Here is a 19,387-nt window from a genome sequence, read left to right as displayed (position 1 = left end):
AGGTAGATGATTAGAGTTAATGTCAACAATGACAAAATCATGTAGATAGTCTGTTTCTTTGATATAATGTGATGAGAATTTCACTTTACCTGTGTGGTCTTCCTCCCAAAAACCCATAAAACCATGAGACAGACATCAGGCAAAGCCCAGTTGAGAGACATTCTACGAAATACGTGACCAGTGCTCAGACAAAGCAAGGAGAGTCTGAGAAACTGTCACAGTGCAGAGGACCCTAAGAAGTCATGATGCCTCCCTAAATATGACGTGTCTCCTGGATGGGATCCTTGAACAGGAAAGGACATTAGGTAAAAATGAAGGAAATGGGAGTAAAGTATGGACTTTAGTTAATAATACTGTATCAAGGTTGGTTAATTTTGGAAAATGTACCACACTAATGTAAGATGTCATTAATAGGGGAAACTGAGCGTGGTGGGCTAGATGAAAACTCTCAGTACTATCTTCAAAACTTCTATGAATCTAAAATCATTGTAAAATAAAAGCTTATTTTTTATTTTTTGAGATGGAGTTTCGCTCTTGTTGCCCAGGCTGGAGTGCAGTGACAAAACCTTGGCTCCCTGCAACCTCCACCTCCTGGGTTCAAGCGATTCTCCTGCCTCAGCCTCCTGAGTAGCTGGGATTACAGGCACGTGCCATCATCCCCAGCTAATTTTTTGTATTTTTAGTAGAGACGGGTTTTCACCATGTTAGCCAGGTGGGTCTCGAACTCCTGACCTCAGGTGATCCACCCACTTCGGCCTCCCAAAGTGCTGGGATTACAGGCATGAGCCACCGTGCCTGGCCAATAAAAACTTATTTAAAAAAAAAAAATCTCAGAATGTAGCATAAAAAAAAAAATCAAGGGAAAGGTATTTTATTTTAAAAGTTAATACAACGATTAACAAAAGGGAAGATTTGTCGTTGGGTCTATTACCCAATGCTAAGATATAATTTAACATTTGCAGTGTGATGAAATACAGAGTCTTCATTTTATAATTCATATAAAAATCCTACAACATATTCAGACAAAGAAGATTATGAGAAAATGACATATACAATTGATGTAGTTTTTAAAGCTAGGCTTTTAACACTAATCTTCAGAGAGAGCATTGTTATTAAGAGCCCAGGAAAATATAAGATAACATCAAATTCTCTGAGCTAAATTAGTGGAGGCACATTTTTAAAAGCTCAGTGCTTGGATTCTAGTTTGTGTGATCCTGGATAAATCACTGGGCCAGAAGTTTCTCCATCTAAATAGTAAGATAATCCTAAACAGTCCCTAATGTCCCTTGACCTTTTTTTTAGATGGAGTCTCACTCCGTCACCCAGGCTAGAGTGCAGTGGTGTAATCTTGGCTCACTGCAACCTCCGCCTCCCGGGTTCCAGCAATTCTGCCTCAGGCTCCTGAGTAGCTGGGATTATAGGCTCACACCACCACACCTGGCTAATTTTTGTATTTTTAGTAGAGACGGGTTTCACCATGTTGGCCAGGCTGGTCTGGAACTCCTGACCTCAGGTGATACACCCGCCTCGGCCTCCCAAAGTGTTGGGATTACAGGCGTGAGCCACCAAACCCGGCCATGTCCCTTGAACTTCTCAGTGCCTATCATTCCATCCAGGGTAGTGTGGAAAACTAAGAAATACCTTGACCTAGTGTGCAAAGGATTTAGGTTAGAGAGTGAAAAATAATCTATCAACAGCAAGCATTAATTGAGAATGCTGGAATGGGTCAATTCTTAAGGATCCTTAATAATAATCTAGTCTTGAGGCTATTGTTCATAGCTAGGCGAGCTATAAGTCCCATGAGGCAAGGGATTGGGTCTGGCTTTTTTTTTTTTTTTGGTATCTCCAGGCCAGGCTGGTATCTCACTCTGTCACCCAGGCTGGAGTGCAATGGCGCGATCTCAGCTCACTGCAAGCTCCACTTCCCGGGTTCACACCATTCTCTTGTCTCAGCCTCCCGAGTAGCTGGAACTACAGGCACCCACCACTGCGCCCAGCTAATTTTTTGTATTTTTAGTAGAGACGGGGTTTCACCGTGTTAGCAAGGATGGTCTCGATCTCCTGACCTCGTGATCTGCTCACCTCGGCCTCCCAAAGTGCTGGGATTACAGGCGTGAGCCACCGTGCCTGGCCATGGCTTTCTTACCAGAAGTTTTTTTTTAATCAGAAAATGACTGCGTCCTTTTTTTTTGTTTTTTTTTTGTTTATTTGTTTTTGCCCCTAAAAGCCCGGGAAGGAAATATATAGCAGAATTGTAAAAGCTATTCAAAGGATATTCCACAAGCCCCACTTCTCAAGCAGTGAGAAAATTTGGTGTTAGTCTAGAAATAGTTCCTACCTTTCAAGGTGTCTTAGGTCTTCAATTAAAAATGAGGTGTAATGAAAGCTCTGAGCCCATTTTGATGTTTAACTGAAGACAGTTAACCATCTAGTTTAAGTCAAGTCCCAATACTCCCTCTTATTTGGCCAAGTTATAAGGAAGCCTAGCTGCTTGCTCTTTTGACGCCAGTGGAAGTTTAAACCACACAAGCTCTGGGACACACATGGAACCCCTCACCCCTGGCCACCTCCTGATCATAGTAAAAGCCAACATGGTAGCCCTTTGCCTGCTCTCGCAAGCCATTCTGAACCTGCTTGGGGGTCTGCCTTGCTCTCCCCAGAAAGTCTCACTAAGTGAGTAATAAAGTTTTTCATACCCTTTTGGTGCTTCTGTCGTGTCGTAGGTAAGGACATTAGCAATTTGTGAGGCCAAGGTGGACGCATCACCTGAGGTCAGCAGTTCGAGACCAGCCTGGCCAACATGGTGAAACCCCATCTCTACTAAAAATACAAAAATTAGCCAGGTGTGATGGCAGATGCCTGTAGTCCCAGCTACTTGGGAGGCTGAGGTGGGAGGATCACTTGGAGGTTGCAGTGAGCTGAGATTGCACCACTGCACTCCAGCCTGGGTGACAGAGCGAAATTCTATCAAATAGATAAATAAATAAAATAAGTACCGACATTAGGAACAAATTTTTGGTGGGGTTCCATCATGCCTCCCCACAAAGACACAACACGAGGAGACTTTTATTTATTTTGTTTTCATGAAACACACAAGAAAACTCAGTTGCTGGTGATTCACACTCATAATTATGGTACCGTCTCACAAATTATCCTGATAGGACTGTGCCTAGAAGTAGAATACAGTAGTAAGTCATGTCCTTTATAAAGAAGAAACCCTTCTGCTTTAAACACCCACTGGGTTTTAGCATAGTTTATTTGCTTAGAACAGGAGTAAGATTGCAAGTCCATTTCTATCTGCTAACGAACAAACACTAGAAAGTTCTTAGAGGCTTACAGACAGCCTGTTAATAACGCAGGCCAGATTCGAGACAAATAAAACATTTTTAAGGGCCTATCATTTCAAAGAAGCTCTAACAAAGAAAGGATTAGATTAGGCTCTAACCCTCAGGATTTCTAAAATAGAAAAGAGCACAGCTGCATTTTAAATCATCCGAGTGCGTGCATTATTTAGTAACTTCTTTTGTAACTGTTAGCACTACCGGTGCAATAAGAGAAAGTTAATTTTAGATGGCAGGGCATTTCCATTTTGTATATGTGTGTGTCATATGATTCATTCTCAAAAGCCTAGCTTGAAAGCCTCAGTTAAGATGTTTCTGTCGAGGTAAAACTGAAGCAAAATACTTTTATTCTAGTCCATCGTGCGGAGTTTACTCTGCCATGTAAAGCGGAGAATTTTCTCATTAATATTTCTGAGCTCTGTAATGCTTCCATTTTCAGCTGGGTTAAAAATAAAAGACATCATCATAGCGCCAACTAAGTATTTCTATCAGGGTAGGAGTAATAAGCGGTTCGTGGCTCCGTGGGGATTATCACATTACATTCATGGAAAACCACCAGTGCAACCCAGGCGACATTCAAGTTTGCCGTTAAAAGTAATATATAGTTGTCTTGTGCTGAGGTCAGACTAATCTGGATAAGAAAGAAAAATGCTCTAAAAAAATAAAATACAGAATGAAAAGAAAGACAATATTCCCCCTTGTTGGCTTGTCCCTGAAATTGGGACCAGGCCAACATGCACACCCCACCGCTTCCTGCTGGCATATTCTGGGGGTGAGAATCAATCCGCTCTTTGTAGGTATTAGAAATTGTGGAGGCATTAAAAAGGCAAACACTGAATAGATCTAATGTAGTTGGAGACAAAGGGTTTAAGTGATGTGGAGGAAGAGGGCAAGAGGAAAGCCGGTCAAGATCTGGGCCAGCCAGTGTCTCATTGGAGGGACTAGGGGGACTCAAGGTCACACCCGAGTCCACCTCACAGCTCAGAGGTGACCCTTATTTCTACTACTATTAATGCTTTATGTCACCAACCAAAAGCAAACAGCTGATTTCCCTTGGGACTAGACTTAAAAGGGACGTTTACAAAATATCCACAGTGCAATGTTTCTTTAATGTTCTATTTTAAGTTAACCTGCGTGTGTGTGGGTGTTTGGGGAGGGGGGTGTTGTGTGTATGTGTATGTAGTTTACACATCCTGTATACAGTGGTGGGAATGTATTCTTTTCTTGTCTTTTTTTTTTTTTTTAAGAGACGAAGTTTCACTCTTGTCGCCCAGGCTGGAGTGCAATGGCGCGACCTCGGCTCACTGCAACCTCTGCCTCCCGGGTTCAAGCGATTCTCTTGCCTCAGCCTCCCAAGTAGCTGGGAATACAGGCACCTGCCACCATGTCCAGCTAATTTTTGTATTTTTAGTAGAGACGGGGTTTCACTATGTTGGCCAGGCTGCTCTCGAACCCCTGACCTCAGGTGATCCACCCAACTAGGCCTCCCAAAGTGCTGGGATTACAGGTGTGAGCCACCACGCCCCGCCTCTTCCCTAGTCTTTTAAGAAACATAAACTCTGTATGCATCATGTCTAATAGGTACTTCTGTTTGAGACTTGAGGTACAAAATTGTTTTAATAATGACTTAACCTTGAACTAATTTTGAGTGTTAAAGGTTTCACTCCATACTAGAGAATAAAGTTGAAAGGGTTTTTTTTCTAAGTGAATGACCAAAGCATTATTTTGCTAAAGCAATAAACCTCAACTGTAAATCGTGCCATGCACTAAGTAGGTCACTGAAAACTAAAATGATATCAGATGTAGTCTAGGATTTCAGTTTAGCAGGATTATCTTTTCTAATTGCTGTTAAAATAAAACAACTACTTTTACTAAAAGCTTGGGGGTATGCTAGAGTGTTTTTAAAGCTATATTACAGCAAAAAAAAAAAAAAATTCTTCCCATGACAAGTTTTTATAAAAATGCTTCCATTCACCTTACTGCCTTAGAAAAATTATACACTGGATAGAATTTTGACTTTAAAGGTTTAGAGCCCTGGGATGCCACATGGGCACTGTGAATAGAATTTTCAATCAAGAACATAGTGAAACTCCATCTCTACTGAAAATGCAAAAATTAGCCAGGCATCGTGGCGCGTGCCTGTAGTCCCAGCTACTCGGGAGGCTGCAGGGGAATTGCTTGAACCTGGGAGGTGGAGGTTGTAGTGAGCATCATGCCACTGCACGCCAGCTTGGGCAACAGAGCGAGACTTCGTCTCAAAAAAAAAAAAAAAAAAAAGAATTTTCAATCAGGAACTGTCATGCCCTTCCTGGAAGTACTAGGAACACCACTGAATAAGCAAAGAATAAGTGAGAGAAGTTTCTTCTTATAGATCCCAGCTAAAGAAATGATAGAATTTGAATAGGACCACTTTATAACCCCAATAAATGGAGGGACCTGCCCATTGAGCATGAAGGGTTGAGAGCATCTCAAAAGTAGAGACAACCAGATATTGCACGTCTCCTGCTGGCAATGCCCCGCACTGTCTACAGAGTAGTCTTGCCCTACCCCACTCCCTCAAAAACAGCTTGAATCTGAACAAGCGTCTAGACCTAAATAGATATTTATAGGAAATATAAGAGAGAAAAATGTTATAGAACACCAAGGAGATGCCATCAGCAAAACTCATTTATGAAAAACTCTGCAAGATAAATAATCCAGTTTCCTCGGCAAATGAGTTACAAGGAATTAAGAAAAAGAAAAAGTGCCAGGCACATTGGCTCATGCTTATAAGGAGGACAAGACAAGAGGATGGCTTGAGCCCAGGAGTTCAAGACCAGCCTGGGAAACATAACGAGACCCTGTCTCTACAAAAAAATTTAAAAATTTAGCCTCATGTTGTGGTGTGTGCCTATAGTCCCCGCTACTTGGGAGACTAAAACAGAAGGATTACTTGAGCCCAGGAGTTCAAGGCTGCAGTGAGCTATGATCATGCCACTGCACTCCAGCCTGGGCAACAGAGTGAAACCCTGATCCTGTCACCCAAAAAAAAAGGAAAACTACATAGGTTAAGAGACAACTACTCATCACAAGGTGACCTTATATACTTCTTGATTCAAACAAACCAACTAAAAGAAAAATTACATAGATGAGGAGATTGAAAACCCCCGGATATTTTTATCATAGTTAAGCAACAATTGTCATTTGTTTTAGAAATAATAATGGTATTTTGATTATGTTGAAAGAGAAAATCCTTATATTTTGAAGACACAGACTGAAACATTTACAGATTTTTAAGAATTAATTTCTTATTTGACAAAGGAGGTATGTTCTGGGATTACTTCCTCAAAGAATTATGACTCTTTCCTCTTCCCCACCCTGAGCTAAAGTTCCCCTCCATCATATTTCAGTACTACCTTGTGTATATCTCCATCTTTGCACCTCCATGTTGCATAATAATCTGTTCATGTGAGTGTTTCTACCACTAGACCGAGCATCATTAGGTCGGTGATCATGCCATAATTGATTTGGTTTCTCCAATTCCTGACACATGGTGAATCAATAAATGAATGAATGCATGAACAATTCATTAACACCAATATTTTATTTTCAGCTCTACATGCTTATAGTAGCCAGGAGTTTCAAACTCCCCAATGCAAATGATGAATGGTTTCTGATTCCCAAGCTATAGAATTACCAAACAGCTTTCAGTCTCACTGTTTTAGCCATGTCTTCCTCCAAAGAATCGATGATTAATAGTCATAATAGCCAACTTTTATAGCCCACTTCCTATACACTGGGCACTGTTCCGAGTACTTATGTTTTAAATAATATTTTCATTACAGTCCTTTGACGTAAGGCCTAGTCTGATCATTCTCATGTTAGAGAAGAGAAACTGAAACACAGAGATGTGGGTCAGTGTCCAAGGTCTCTCATAAGGGGCAGACCTGGGATTCATACCCAGGAAAGCTGCTTCCAGAACATCTTCACTTGACCATGCTCAACAACCTCCCTAAGATAACTAGAGCCTTGCTAACCTAGTAGGTGTGGACTTTGCAGAAAGCTGCGTCTCTGGGCCATTGCAGTTCCAAGCACTTGATTCATAAGTGATCACTTTATTCATGCCAAAAAACACTATGAAATAAAGGCAACCTTAGGAAGATAAATAATCAGTATCAGAATAATGTAAGATAAAATACCATAGCAGAAGACTGTAAGATTGTCTTCAGATGTTTTGGGGGTTTTCTGTTTGTTTGTTTTTTGTTGTTGTTATTTTTTGTTTTGAGACAGAGTCTCTCCCTGAAGCCCAAGCTAGAGTGCAGTGGCACAATCTTGGCTCACTGCAACCTCCAATTCCTGGGTTCAAGTGATTCTCGTGCCTCAGCCTTCCAAGTAGCTGGGACTACAGGAACCTACCACCACACCTGGCTAATTTTTGTATTTTTAGTAGAGATGGAGTTTCGCCATGTTGGCCAGGCTGGTCTTGAACACCTGACCTCAGATGATCCACCTGCCTCGGCCTCTGAAGGTGCTGGGATTACAGGTGTGAGCCACAGCTTTCAGATGTTTAGTCAATCAAATTACTTCCCACTTCAGTACAGACATTTTGCCCAGCTAGTTAAAGAGTATTTTCTCGGGATGAGATCAGATGTGGCATTGACCCCATACATAAGACACCCATCATCTGACTGGGAACAAAAAATGAATTCCCAATTTAGCTCTTTCCTTGTGCCTCCTGCCCCATCTGGATACTGCTTCTTTCTTGGAATAATATCACAGTTAATCAAGGTTACAAAAACACGGAACATTCCTCCCTCATTTGAGGAATTTGGGATTGGTCAAAATCATTGTTGAACAAAATATCTAAGACAGAATGGGATAGAATTTACTTGATCTTTCCTTTTTTTCTTTTTCCAAGGAAGAAAGAGTCTCACTGACTCCAGGATTCTTGGCTTAGCCATTACTCAAGCCACAAATACTTCAGTTATCCAGTGAGTCAGCAGCCTTCAACCACACTTTTAAATAAAGGCCTTCTATCATGATATTTTTCATATGTGTTTTACTCCCTGTTGTATACCCTATAAATGCTAAGCTGTTACGATTTTTTTTTCCTCTCATTTCTTTCTGCGGAGATAGACCTGACATTTCTTTCAAGAAGACTGTTACTTATTTTCTACTAAGACTCAAACGACAAACTTTCTAGTGAATTCAATTGGGAGCTTCTTCTGGCCAATTCTAGCATTATTCTTTTTTTTCTCTTTTTTTTTTTTTTTTTTTTTTTGTTAATTTTTCTTTTTTTTCTTTGCAGACGGAGTCTCACTCTGTCGCCCAGGCTGGAATGCACTGGCACGATCTTGGCTCACTGCAACCTCCACCTCCTGGGTTCAAGCGATTCTCCTGCCTCAGCCTCCCAAGCAGCTGGGATTACAGGCATGCACCACCAGACCCAGCTAATTTTTTTTTTTTTTTCTGAGACGGAGTCCTGCTCTGTCACCCAGCTCCAGGGTTCAAGCAATTCTCTTGCCTCAGCCTCCCAAGTAGCTGAGATTACAGGCTCCCGCCACCATGCCCAGCTACTTTTTCTGTATTTGTAGTAGAGATGGGGTTTTGCCATGTTGGCCAGCCTGGTCTCAAACTCCTGACCTCAGGTGATCCGCCCACCTCAGTCTCCCGAAGTGCTGGGATTACAGGCGTGAGCCATCGTGCCCGGCCTTTTTTTTTTTTTTTCCCTACCTTATTGTGGTACAACATGCATATATAAAATATACAGTTTTAGCCATTTTTAATTATACAACTCAGCAGCATTAAGTACATTCACACTGCTATGCAACCATCACCACCATTTATCTCCAGAACTTGCTTCATCTTCCCAAATTTAAACTGTGTATCTCTTAAATTCAAATTCCTATCCCCCAACCTAGGCCTAGCAACCACCATTATACCTTCTGTCTCTCCTAATTTGTTCTTTGCTATTTCGATGGTTTTAATAAATGTAATTGGCCGGGTGCGGTGGCTCATGCCTGTAATCCCAGCACTTTGGGAGGCCGAGGCCGGTGGATCACGAGGTCAGGAGATCGAGACCACGGTGAAACCGTGTCTCTACTAAAAATACAAAACATTAGCCGGGCGTAGTGGCGGGCGCCTGTAGTCCCAGCTACTCGGGAGGCTGAGGCAGGAGAATGGCGTGAACCCGAGAGGTGGAGCTTGCAGTGAGCCGAGATTGCACCACTGCACTCCAGCCTGGGTAACAGAGTGTGACTCCGTCTCAAATAAATAAATAAATGTATTAATCATGATAAGGGCAGTGGGTTGCTAAAACAAAGAAACCTATACCTTTTTCTCCTTAAATCCATTTTTCAACTTTCAGTTATTAAATTTATAAATGATCCTTCCTTTTACAAGTAAGGCTAGAGTGCAGTGGCGTGATATTGGCTCACTGCAACCTCCACCTCCTGGGTTCAAGCAATTATCCTGCTTCAGCCTGGGATTACAAGTGCTCTCCACCACTCTTGGCTAATTTTTGTATTTTCGATAGAGACAGGGTTTTGCCATGTTGGCCAGCCTTGTCTTGAACTCATGACCTCAGGTGATCCACCTGCCTCAGCCTCCAAAAGTGCTGGGATTACAGGCACGAGCCACCTCACCCGGCCTTTTTTTGTTTTTGAGACCGAGTCTCACTCTGTAGCCTAGGCTGGAGTGCAGTAGTGTGATCTCGGCTCACTGCAACCTCCACCTCCCAGCTTCAAGGGATTCTCCTGCCTAAGCCTCCTGAGTAGCTGAGATCACAGGTGCGTGCCACCACGCCCAGCTAATTTTTGTATTTTTAGCAGAGACGGGGTTTCACCATGTTGGCTAGGGTGGTCTCAATCTCTTCACCTCATGATCCGTCTGCCTCGGCCTCCCAAAGTGCTAGGATTACAGGCATGAGCCACCTCGCCCGACTGATCCTTACTTTTGATGCTCTGTTTTAATCCACTTGTCTGCACACTGCTTTTAGGCACATTTTATGTGGTTCTTAATATAATCAAATATTGGGCAGGAAAAAGAAAGGGTCTCTGATTAAAAACAAGTTTAAGGGCTGGGCGAGGTGGTTCACACCTGTAATCCCAACATTTTGGGAGGCTGAGGTGGGAGGATCACTAGAGGCCACAAGTTTGAGATGAGCCTGGGCAATATAGCAAGACCCCATCTCTACAAAAAAAAAAAAGTAAAAAATTAGTCAGGCATGGTGGCATGTGCCTGTAGTCCCAGCTACTGCAGAGGCTGAGGTGGGAGGATAGTTTGAGCCCAGGAGTTTCAGGCTGAAATGAACTATGATTGCACCATTGCACTCCAGCCTGGGCAACAGAGCAAGAGTCTGCCTCAAAAAAAAAAAAAAAAAAAAAAAAAAAAACTAAATAAATAAATTTAAAGTGTGCTGGAGAAATAAGTTGTACCATTGGTTTTCCAAAGGCTTTAAATTATATGTATTTCAGTGACATCTTTCTTCATGAACACTGTTAACCATGGATAATTAAGAATTTTCTAAGTTTGAGACAGTTGACTGATTTCCCACAAAAAGCTTTGACTCATTTATCAAGTTTGTTTTTTTTTTTTTTTTTAAGACGGAGTCTTGCTCTGTGGCCGAGGCTGGAGTGCAGTGGCGCGATCTCGGCTCACTGCAAGCTCCGCCTCCTGGGTTCACGCCATTCTCCTGCCTCAGCCTCCCAAGTAGCCAGGACTACAGGCGCCCACTACTACGCCCGCCTAATTCTTTTGTATTCCTTAGTAGAGACGGGGTTTCACTGTGTTAGCCAGGATGGTCTCGATCTCCTGACCTCATGATCCGCCCGCCTCGGCCTCCCAGAGTGCTGGGATTACAGGCGTGAGCCACCGCGCCCGGCCTCAAGTTCTTTTAAAAGTAACTTTTCTCTTTCTCAGATATCTTTGAGCTGTCACATCAGAAAACAGAAAAAGAAAGGTAAACCTCAGGAGAGAATTACCAGGGAGAACTAAGTAAGTTAAGGATGAACATCTGATAACGCAACTTCTCAGCACCCGCGGGCAAATGGCAGGGAGAAAAGACTTGGGTTTTAAAAGCTGAGTGGGCAGAACGTACAGCACAGCGGAAAGAGCCCCTGCCTAATTTCTGAGACCTGGATGCCATGAGGAGTCTCCCTGCGGGCAGATGAAAAGGCAGCAGTTCCACACCCAGAGGCAGGGCCTGAGGATCACATTCACACCAACAAGTGGGAAGTAAAACCCACCCCATTCCCAACGCCTCAATATTATTATTCTTTTTTTTTTTTTAATTTCAGTAGGTTTTGAGGGAACAGGTGGTATTTGGTTACATGAATAAGTTCTTCAGTGGTGATTTCTGAGATTTTGGTACACCCACCACCCAAGCAGGGTACACTGAACCCAATGTGTGTAGTCTTTTATCCCTCACCCCCTTCCCACCCTTTCCCGAGTTCCCCAGAGTCCACTGTATGATTCTAATGCCTTCGCATCCTCACAGCTTAGCTCCTACGTATTTATTTTATTTTATTTTTTGAGACAGAGTCTCACTCTGTCACCGAGGCTGGAGTGCAGTGGCACGATCTCGGCTCACTACTAGCTCCGCCACCCGGGTTCACGCCATTCTCCTGCCTCAGCCTCCCGAGTAGCTGGGACTATAGGTGCCCGCCACCACGCCCAGCTAATTTTTTGTATTTTTAGTAGAGATGGGTTTTCACCGTGTTAGCCAGGATAGTCTCCATCTCCTGACCTCGTGATCCGCCCCCGTCGGCCTCCCAAAGTGCTGGGATTACAGGCGTGAGCCACTGCGCCCGGACCTTAGCTCCCACTTATGAGTGAGAACGTATGATATTTGTGTTTCCATTTGTGAGTTACTTCACTTAGAATAATAGTTTCCAGTTCCATCCAGGTTGCTACGAATGCCATTATTTTGTTCCTTTTTATGGCCACAATTTCTTTATCCAGATGTTAATTGACCAATATTGACTCAATATTCTAATAAAGTGGAAATTAAAAATAAAAATTACAGCCTGGGAAATGTGGCAAGACCCCATCTCTACAAAAAAATTTTAAAATGAGCCAGGCATGGTGGTGCATGCCTATAGCCCCAGCTACATGGGAGACTGAGACAGGAGGATTGCCTGAGCCAAGGAGTTTGAGGCTGCAGTGACCCATGATGGCACCACTGCACTCCAGCCTGAGCAACAGAGTGAGACCCTGTCTCAAAAAAATTTTTTTGATTAAAATTAAAAGATCACGTAGGGTTAGTGAGGAAATGTCTCTCCAATGGATTTCCAAGAGCCTCATGTAAAAAAATATAATGTATTATCCCTGACGATAATAACCTTGTTTCTAAAACAAGATTTTAGAAAACTTTAATCTCCAAATCTCATTAGGATGACAGTACAAACACACACTTAAGATCTTTAAGCAACCTTTCTGTGCATTTTGTTTTATTATATAATACACTAAATAGAATGTATATATTATATATGGTATGCATGGAGGGAGAGAGATCTAAAAAGTGAATTAACAAATGGACCACTACTTTTTGGATATTACTCCCTTGGTATGCAAAATATGAGGAAAGGGGACTTTGCCCTTTGTGAAATTCTCCTTGGGACAAAAGGCTCAACGCTGATCATTCAGTGCTCCCACAACCCCTTTAATAAAGGGAAAAATATGTCCTGAGCACATTCCTATTGGGATAATTACAAGGGACTTTCTACGAGAACAGTGTCTGCTTACCTTTCTACACACTAATTATCCTTCCAGGAAGTGGGGTTTTGCCCCGAGATCCCTCCATCCAAACCCCCAATCGCTTCCTCTAAGGAAAACATTCATCATTTCCTTCCAGCCCAGGCCTAAGCTATTTCACATTGTATTGCTCAGGGCTCTTAACAAGTCCAGAAACAATCACATTTGTGCTGTGACGATCCCTTGAAGGCAGAGTGGAAGAGATGTTGTGGAGCTTTCTAACTCCTTTCCAGTAACAACAAAATAAGCCATTGATCTTGAAAAGTGAGTAAAATCCAAATGGTTTAATAGTAAAGACATTACCCAGCAGCACCAAACACTTGCTGAAATCAGGCAGAATCTTGAGGAAAAAAAACTCATCAACCAAACTAAAATTATAAAAGGATGTGATGGTGAGGCAGCCAAAGCCTGGAGCCCTTCATCTATTTAGACAAAACAACTGCAAAGCTCACTTCAAACATGTTGATGTTTCTTCCATGGACTGGACACAACAAGCTGTTTCTGCCTTCTGGAAGTGTTTTTTCCCTTCCTTATCCTAACATCAAAATGAAACCACTAAGAGAACACAACATCTCCAATCCCAAATGGTGTTTCTCTGTAAGATCCAGCTCTCTCCAGCTGAGAAGTTCATCAAATCCTAATTTAGTAGCTATTCTTTTTCAAGTTGCAGTAAACATTAATAATAGACACAAACAGTACAGGTAGTGAGAAAATCACTGCCAAAAATATCACAAGCACCCCTCAGGCAAACTTCCTCTGACTTTCTTCAGTACTTCAAGGACCTGCGCACAGTTGTCTGCCACACAGCAGATCACACTGAGGCCTTTTATGGAAGAGTGTCCCTCTCCCTTTCCTGCTCAAACTACTGTGTGTGTCGCTGGAGGCTGTAAGCCTGTGACCTGGACCAACAACAAGCCCCTGTGGTTCAGGGATCACTGCCCATTAAGAGGAGAGAAGAGGTCACTAGAAAAGGAATTCTGCTCAGTTAAGTGTCTTGCTTAGCAAGATGTAATGAGTATCTGATTCACCACACAGAGATCAATTGTTACAATCGTTTATTGGAGCCCAGGACATTAACAGCTTTAGAAGGGAGGAGAAAATAGCTCCTTTCTCCCTCTCAGCTGTCAGCACATGTTCCGCCTTCTGGTTACAGAGGAGGGGACACGCCCAGTAATTGTCCCCCAAGCCCTGGACACCACCTCAGGAGAGGGATCTCCACAAAGCCCCCCAGCCTGAACTGCAAGACAGAAATGGAATTTATAAGCGACAAGCATAAATTTTAAACATTTTCTGTTTTTTAGTTATCCCACTTACTTGAAGCACTTTCAAAGAGAAGTAAAATATGTTAACTACTTTTTTTTTTTTTTTTTAACAGAGTACTGCTCTGTCCCCCAGGCTGGAGTGCAGCCCTGTGACTTGGCTCACTACAGCTTCAAACTTCTGAGCTCAAGCAATCCTCCTACCTCAGCCTCCCAAGCAGCCGGGACTACAGGCAAGTGCCACCACATCTAGCTAACTTTTTGTATTTTTTGTAGAGACGGAGTCTCGCTATGTTGCCCAGGCTGGTCTTGAACTCCTAGGATCAAGTGATTCTCCCACCTCAGCCTCCCAAAGTGCGTGAGTCACTATGCCTGGCCATTAACTACTCTTTTCTTTTTCTTTTTTTTTTTTTTTGAGACGGAGTCTCGCTCTGTCTCCCAGGCTGGAGTACAGTCATGCAATCTTGGCTCACTGCAACCTCCGCCTCCTGGGTTCAAGCAATTCTCCTGTCTCAGCCTCCTGAGTAGCTGGGGTTACAGGCACACGCCACCATGCCCAGCTAATTTTTGTATTTTTAGTAGAGACAGGGTTTCGCCACATTGGCCAGGCTGGTCTGAAACTCCTGGGCTCAAATGATCCTCCCCTCTCGGCCTCCCAAAGTGCTGGGATTACAGACGTGTCACTGTGCCTGGCCATTAACTACTTTGAAAAGCTCTCTTCATATAAATCTCAGGAAACAAGGGTAGACAAAGACATGTATGTCTTCTCATATTTTTCATCTGATTTCTACTCTTAATTCTAAATTCTTCAAAGATAAAGGCCAAAGCTAATTAATCTATGTGGTCCTTACGGTACTGGCAGAAACAGCTGCACGTGGAGTATTCTGAATCCATCTTATTTTTGTTCATTTTTGAAAATTTAAACCATTTCCTTTTCTTTCTCATTTTTCTTCATTTCCTCTTCCTACAATTTCTTAGCTCTGCCTTCCTGTTTTCTGTCTTCATTTGATCCTCCTTGTTCATATCCACCTTTCTCTCCCCTTTTCCTTCAATTTTTATTTTAAAAGCTGTCTGCCTTCTAGAATTAACTCAAGCTTCCAGAAACTAGCAGGTGCTTATTGAAGGAACTGATGAGTGGATGAAATTGTCGTCCATTCAGACAATCTGGGTCTTCTTCTAGACTCAGAACAGAAGAATGAGGAAAAAAAATGGAATTCTGTCGGGAGAGAAATGGAATTCAGTTGGGAGAGAAGACTGGGCACTTCCCGTCTCCTGCTCTTCTGCACAGGCTTATTGAAATAATGGACAAATCAGCCAGGCGTGGTGGCTCACGCCTGTAATCCCAATACTTTGGGAGGCCAAGGCGGGTGGATCACCTGAGGTCAGGAGTTCAAGACCAGCCTGGCCAACATGGTGAAACCCCATCTCTACTAAAAATATAAAAATTAGCTGGGCTTGGTGGCGGACGCCTGTAATCCCAGCTATTCTGGAGGCTGAGACAGGAGAATCATTTGAACCCGGGAGGCAGAGGTTGCAGTGAGCCAAGATCGCACCATTGCACTCCAGCCTGGACGACAGAACAAGACTCTGTCTCAAAAAAAAAAAAAAAAAAAAAAAAAAAAGGACAAATCATGCCCAGCTGAGGAAATGAGCAAGCACATATGAAAAAGTCCCGAAAATAAAAACGGCAGCAAAAAAATGGTTGTATGCCAAACAACAGTTACCAGCTCTCCAGGAAAAACTCATTCATAAATCGGAAGAAATTGGTGCTCATCTACTGAAGGGAATAGAAAGAGCCTTCTTTGTGCAACCTGTGCTGCAAAGACCACAAGCAACTGCGGTCAGACAAAAGACAAACAAAGAGACGTCTGGGAAATGCCACAACTGAGAATAAAGTCACTTCATACACCCAAGAGGCTGCCACCACACAGATGCCTCCTGTAGATATCCAACTATCAGAACAGATACTATAATATTCTATAATGAGAAGTGTGTTTCACCAAAGCAACACTATTGTATCCTGTCCAATAAAGAAAATGTATTTCCTTTTCTTTCATTATCCCATTTTAACACAACCAATTCCATTATTGCATCTTCATGTCCTGGGCAATTCCACAGTGGACAACATCAAGGTATTAAGCATTGTTTCTGCCAGGCCTCCCTGTACTTCATCACCGCACCCCAAATTAGTCATAAAGCTCATGAAAACACCAGTCTCTCTAGAAGCTGACATGCAAAATTCATTCCAGGCAGCTTGATTTTCCCTCCCACCAACTGTTAGAGTCATTGTGGTTACATCTAGCCATAAGATCTTTCCTTTCATCCACATTTAAACTGTGTCCCATGTAGCATGCAGCACCAATGAGGTTACGGGGAATGATGGAAAAAGGAAGAGTGAATGGAAAGAAAAGATCATGTGTCTTCTCTGTGTTTCTTTTCTTTTTTTTTTTTTTTTTTTAGACAGAGTCTCGGTCTTTTGCCCAGGCTGGAGTGCAATGGTGTGATCTCGGCTCACTGCAACCTCCTCCACCTCCCGGGTTCAAGCAATTCTCCTGCCTCAGCCTCCTGAGTAGCTGGGATTACAGGAACCCAACACCACGCCCAGCTAATTTTTTTGTATTTTTAGTTAAGAAGGCAAGGCTGGTCTCAAACTCCTGACCTCAGGTGATCCACCTGCTTTGGCCACCCAAAGTGCTGGGATTACAGGCGTGAGCCACTGCGCCCAGCTCTTTGTGTCTTTTCCTTTAGGGAAGAAACAAATGAAAAAGCGAATAAAGAACATAAGGTCGCTTTTTGAAATTCATTAATGTAAACCTTTTCTCTTGACAAAGATAAAAATTTAATAACCCTAGGGCAGCACATGCCCCCTACTACCTCTGTTTTTCTTTTTTTGAGATGGAGTTTTGCTCTTGTTGCCCAGGCTGGAGTGCAATTGAGAGGTGACAGATTGCTGGCAGTCCTCACAGCCCTCGCTCGCTCTCCGCTCCTCCTCTGCCTGGGCTCCCACTTTGGCGGCACTTGAGGAGTCCTTCAGCCCGCCGCTGCACTGTGGGAGCCCCTTTCTGGGCTGACCAAGGCCGGAGCCGGTTCCTTCAGCTTGCGGGGAGGTGTGGAAGGAGAGGCGCCGGCGGGAACCGGGGCTGCGCGCGGTGCTAGCGGGCCAGCGCGAGTTCCAGGTAGGCGTGGGCTCGGCTGGCCCCGCACTCCGAGCGGCAGGCCGGCCTCGCCAGCCCCGGGCAGTGAGGGGCTTAGCACCTGGGCCAGCAGCTGCTGTGCTCAATTTCTCGCCGGGCCTTAGCTGCCTTCCCGCGGGGCAGGGCTTAGGACCTGCAGCGCGCCATGCCTGAGCCTCCCTTCTCCTCCGTGGGCTCCTGTGTGGCCGGAGCCTCCCGGAGGAATGCCGCCCCCTGCTCCACCGTGCCCAGTCCCATCGACCACCCAAGGGCTGAGGAGTGCTGGCACAGGGCGCAGGACTGGCAGGCAGCTCCACCTGCGGCCCCAGTGCGGGATCCACTGGGTGAAGCCAGCTGGGCTCCTCAGTCTGGTGGGGACTTGGAGAACCTTTATGTCTAGCTAAGGGATTGTAAATACACCAATCGGCACTCTGTATCTAGCTCAAGGTTTGTAAACACACCAATCAGCACCCTGTGTCTAGCTCAGGGTTTGTGAATGCACCAACCCACACTCTGTATCTAACTACTCTGGTGGGGACTTGGAGAACCTTTGTGTGGACACTCTGTATCTAGCTAATCTAGTGGGGACGTGGAGAACCTTTGTGTCTAGCTCAGGGATTGTAAACGCACCAATCAGCACCCTGTCAAAACAGACCACTCTGCTCTCTGTAAAGTGGACCAATCAGCAGGATGTGGGTGGGGCCAGATAAGAATAAAAGCAGGCTGCCAGAGCCAGCAGTGGCAACCCTCTAGGGTCCTTTTGCACGCTTTGGTAGCTTTGTTCTTTCACGCTTTGCAGTAAGTCTTGCTGCTGCTCACCCTTTGCGTCCACACTGCCTTTATGAGCTGTAACACTCACTGCGAAGATCTGCAGCTTCACTCCTAAAGCCAGCGAGACCAGGAACCCACCAGGAGGAACGGACAACTCCAGGCGCCCCGCCTGAAGAGCTGTAACACTCACTGGGAAGGTCTGCAACTTCATTCCTGAGCCAGCGAGACCACAAACCCACCAGAAGGAACAAACTCCGAACACATCCGAAGATCAGAAGGAACAAACTCTGGACACGCAGCGTTTAAGAACTGTAACATTCACCGCGAGGGTGTACGGCTTCATTTTTGAAGTCAGTGAGACCAAGAACCCACCAATTCCGGACACACAACGGCACAATCTCAGTTCACCTCAACCTCTGCCTCCTGAGTTCAAGCAATTCTCCTGCCTCAGCCTCCCGAGTAGCTGGGATTATAGGCACGTGCCACCACACCCAGCTAATTTTGTATTTTTAGTAGAGACGGGGTTTCTCCATGTTGGTCAGGCTGGTCTCGAACTCCCGACCTCAGGTGATCTACCTGCCTTGGCCTCCCAAAGTGCTGGGATTACAGGCATGAGCCACCACACCCGGCCCCCTCCTTTTTTTTTTTGAACATTTCTGTAATAAAAGACTCAGACTATAGGCTCCACACGATTTCGCAAATGTTTTTTCTTCGAGGCAGAACATGGAATTGATTGCTGCTTTTTAAAAATAAGTCATATCAGGGCCAGGCGCAGTGGCTCACCCCTGTAATCCCAGAACTTTGGGAGGCCGAGGCGGGCAGATCATGAGGTCAGGAAATCAAGACCGTCCTGGCTAACACTCCGTGAAACCCCGTCTCTACTAAAAATACAAAAAAAATAGCAGGGCGTGGTGGCGGGCGTTTGTGAGTAGTCCCAGTTACTAGGGAGGCTGAAGCAGGAGAATGGCGTGAACCCGGGAGGCAAGCTTGAAGTAAGCTGAGATAGCGCCACTGCACTCCAGCCGGGGCGACAGAGCGAGACTCCGTCACACACACACACACACACACAAAGTCATATCAGATTCATATCAGATTCATGGGTTTTCAAATA

General features: G+C 44.1%; 1 annotated feature.

Moving 5' to 3' along the window:
- Nucleotides 13,806–14,358: an enhancer, noted in NCBI's record as "OCT4-NANOG hESC enhancer chr5:16994519-16995071 (GRCh37/hg19 assembly coordinates)". NCBI's record gives its function as "activates a minimal SCP1, AML or CMV promoter by ChIP-STARR-seq in naive H9 embryonic stem cells {active_cell/tissue: H9 hESC(naive)}" and the evidence as "EXISTENCE:reporter gene assay evidence [ECO:0000049][PMID:30033119]".

Source organism: Homo sapiens, chromosome 5 (assembly GCF_000001405.40).
Source record: "Homo sapiens chromosome 5, GRCh38.p14 Primary Assembly".
Lineage (NCBI taxonomy): Eukaryota > Metazoa > Chordata > Mammalia > Primates > Hominidae > Homo > Homo sapiens.
The sequence above is the reverse complement of the archived record's forward strand: the minus strand, read 5'-3'. Positions and strand labels throughout refer to the sequence as shown.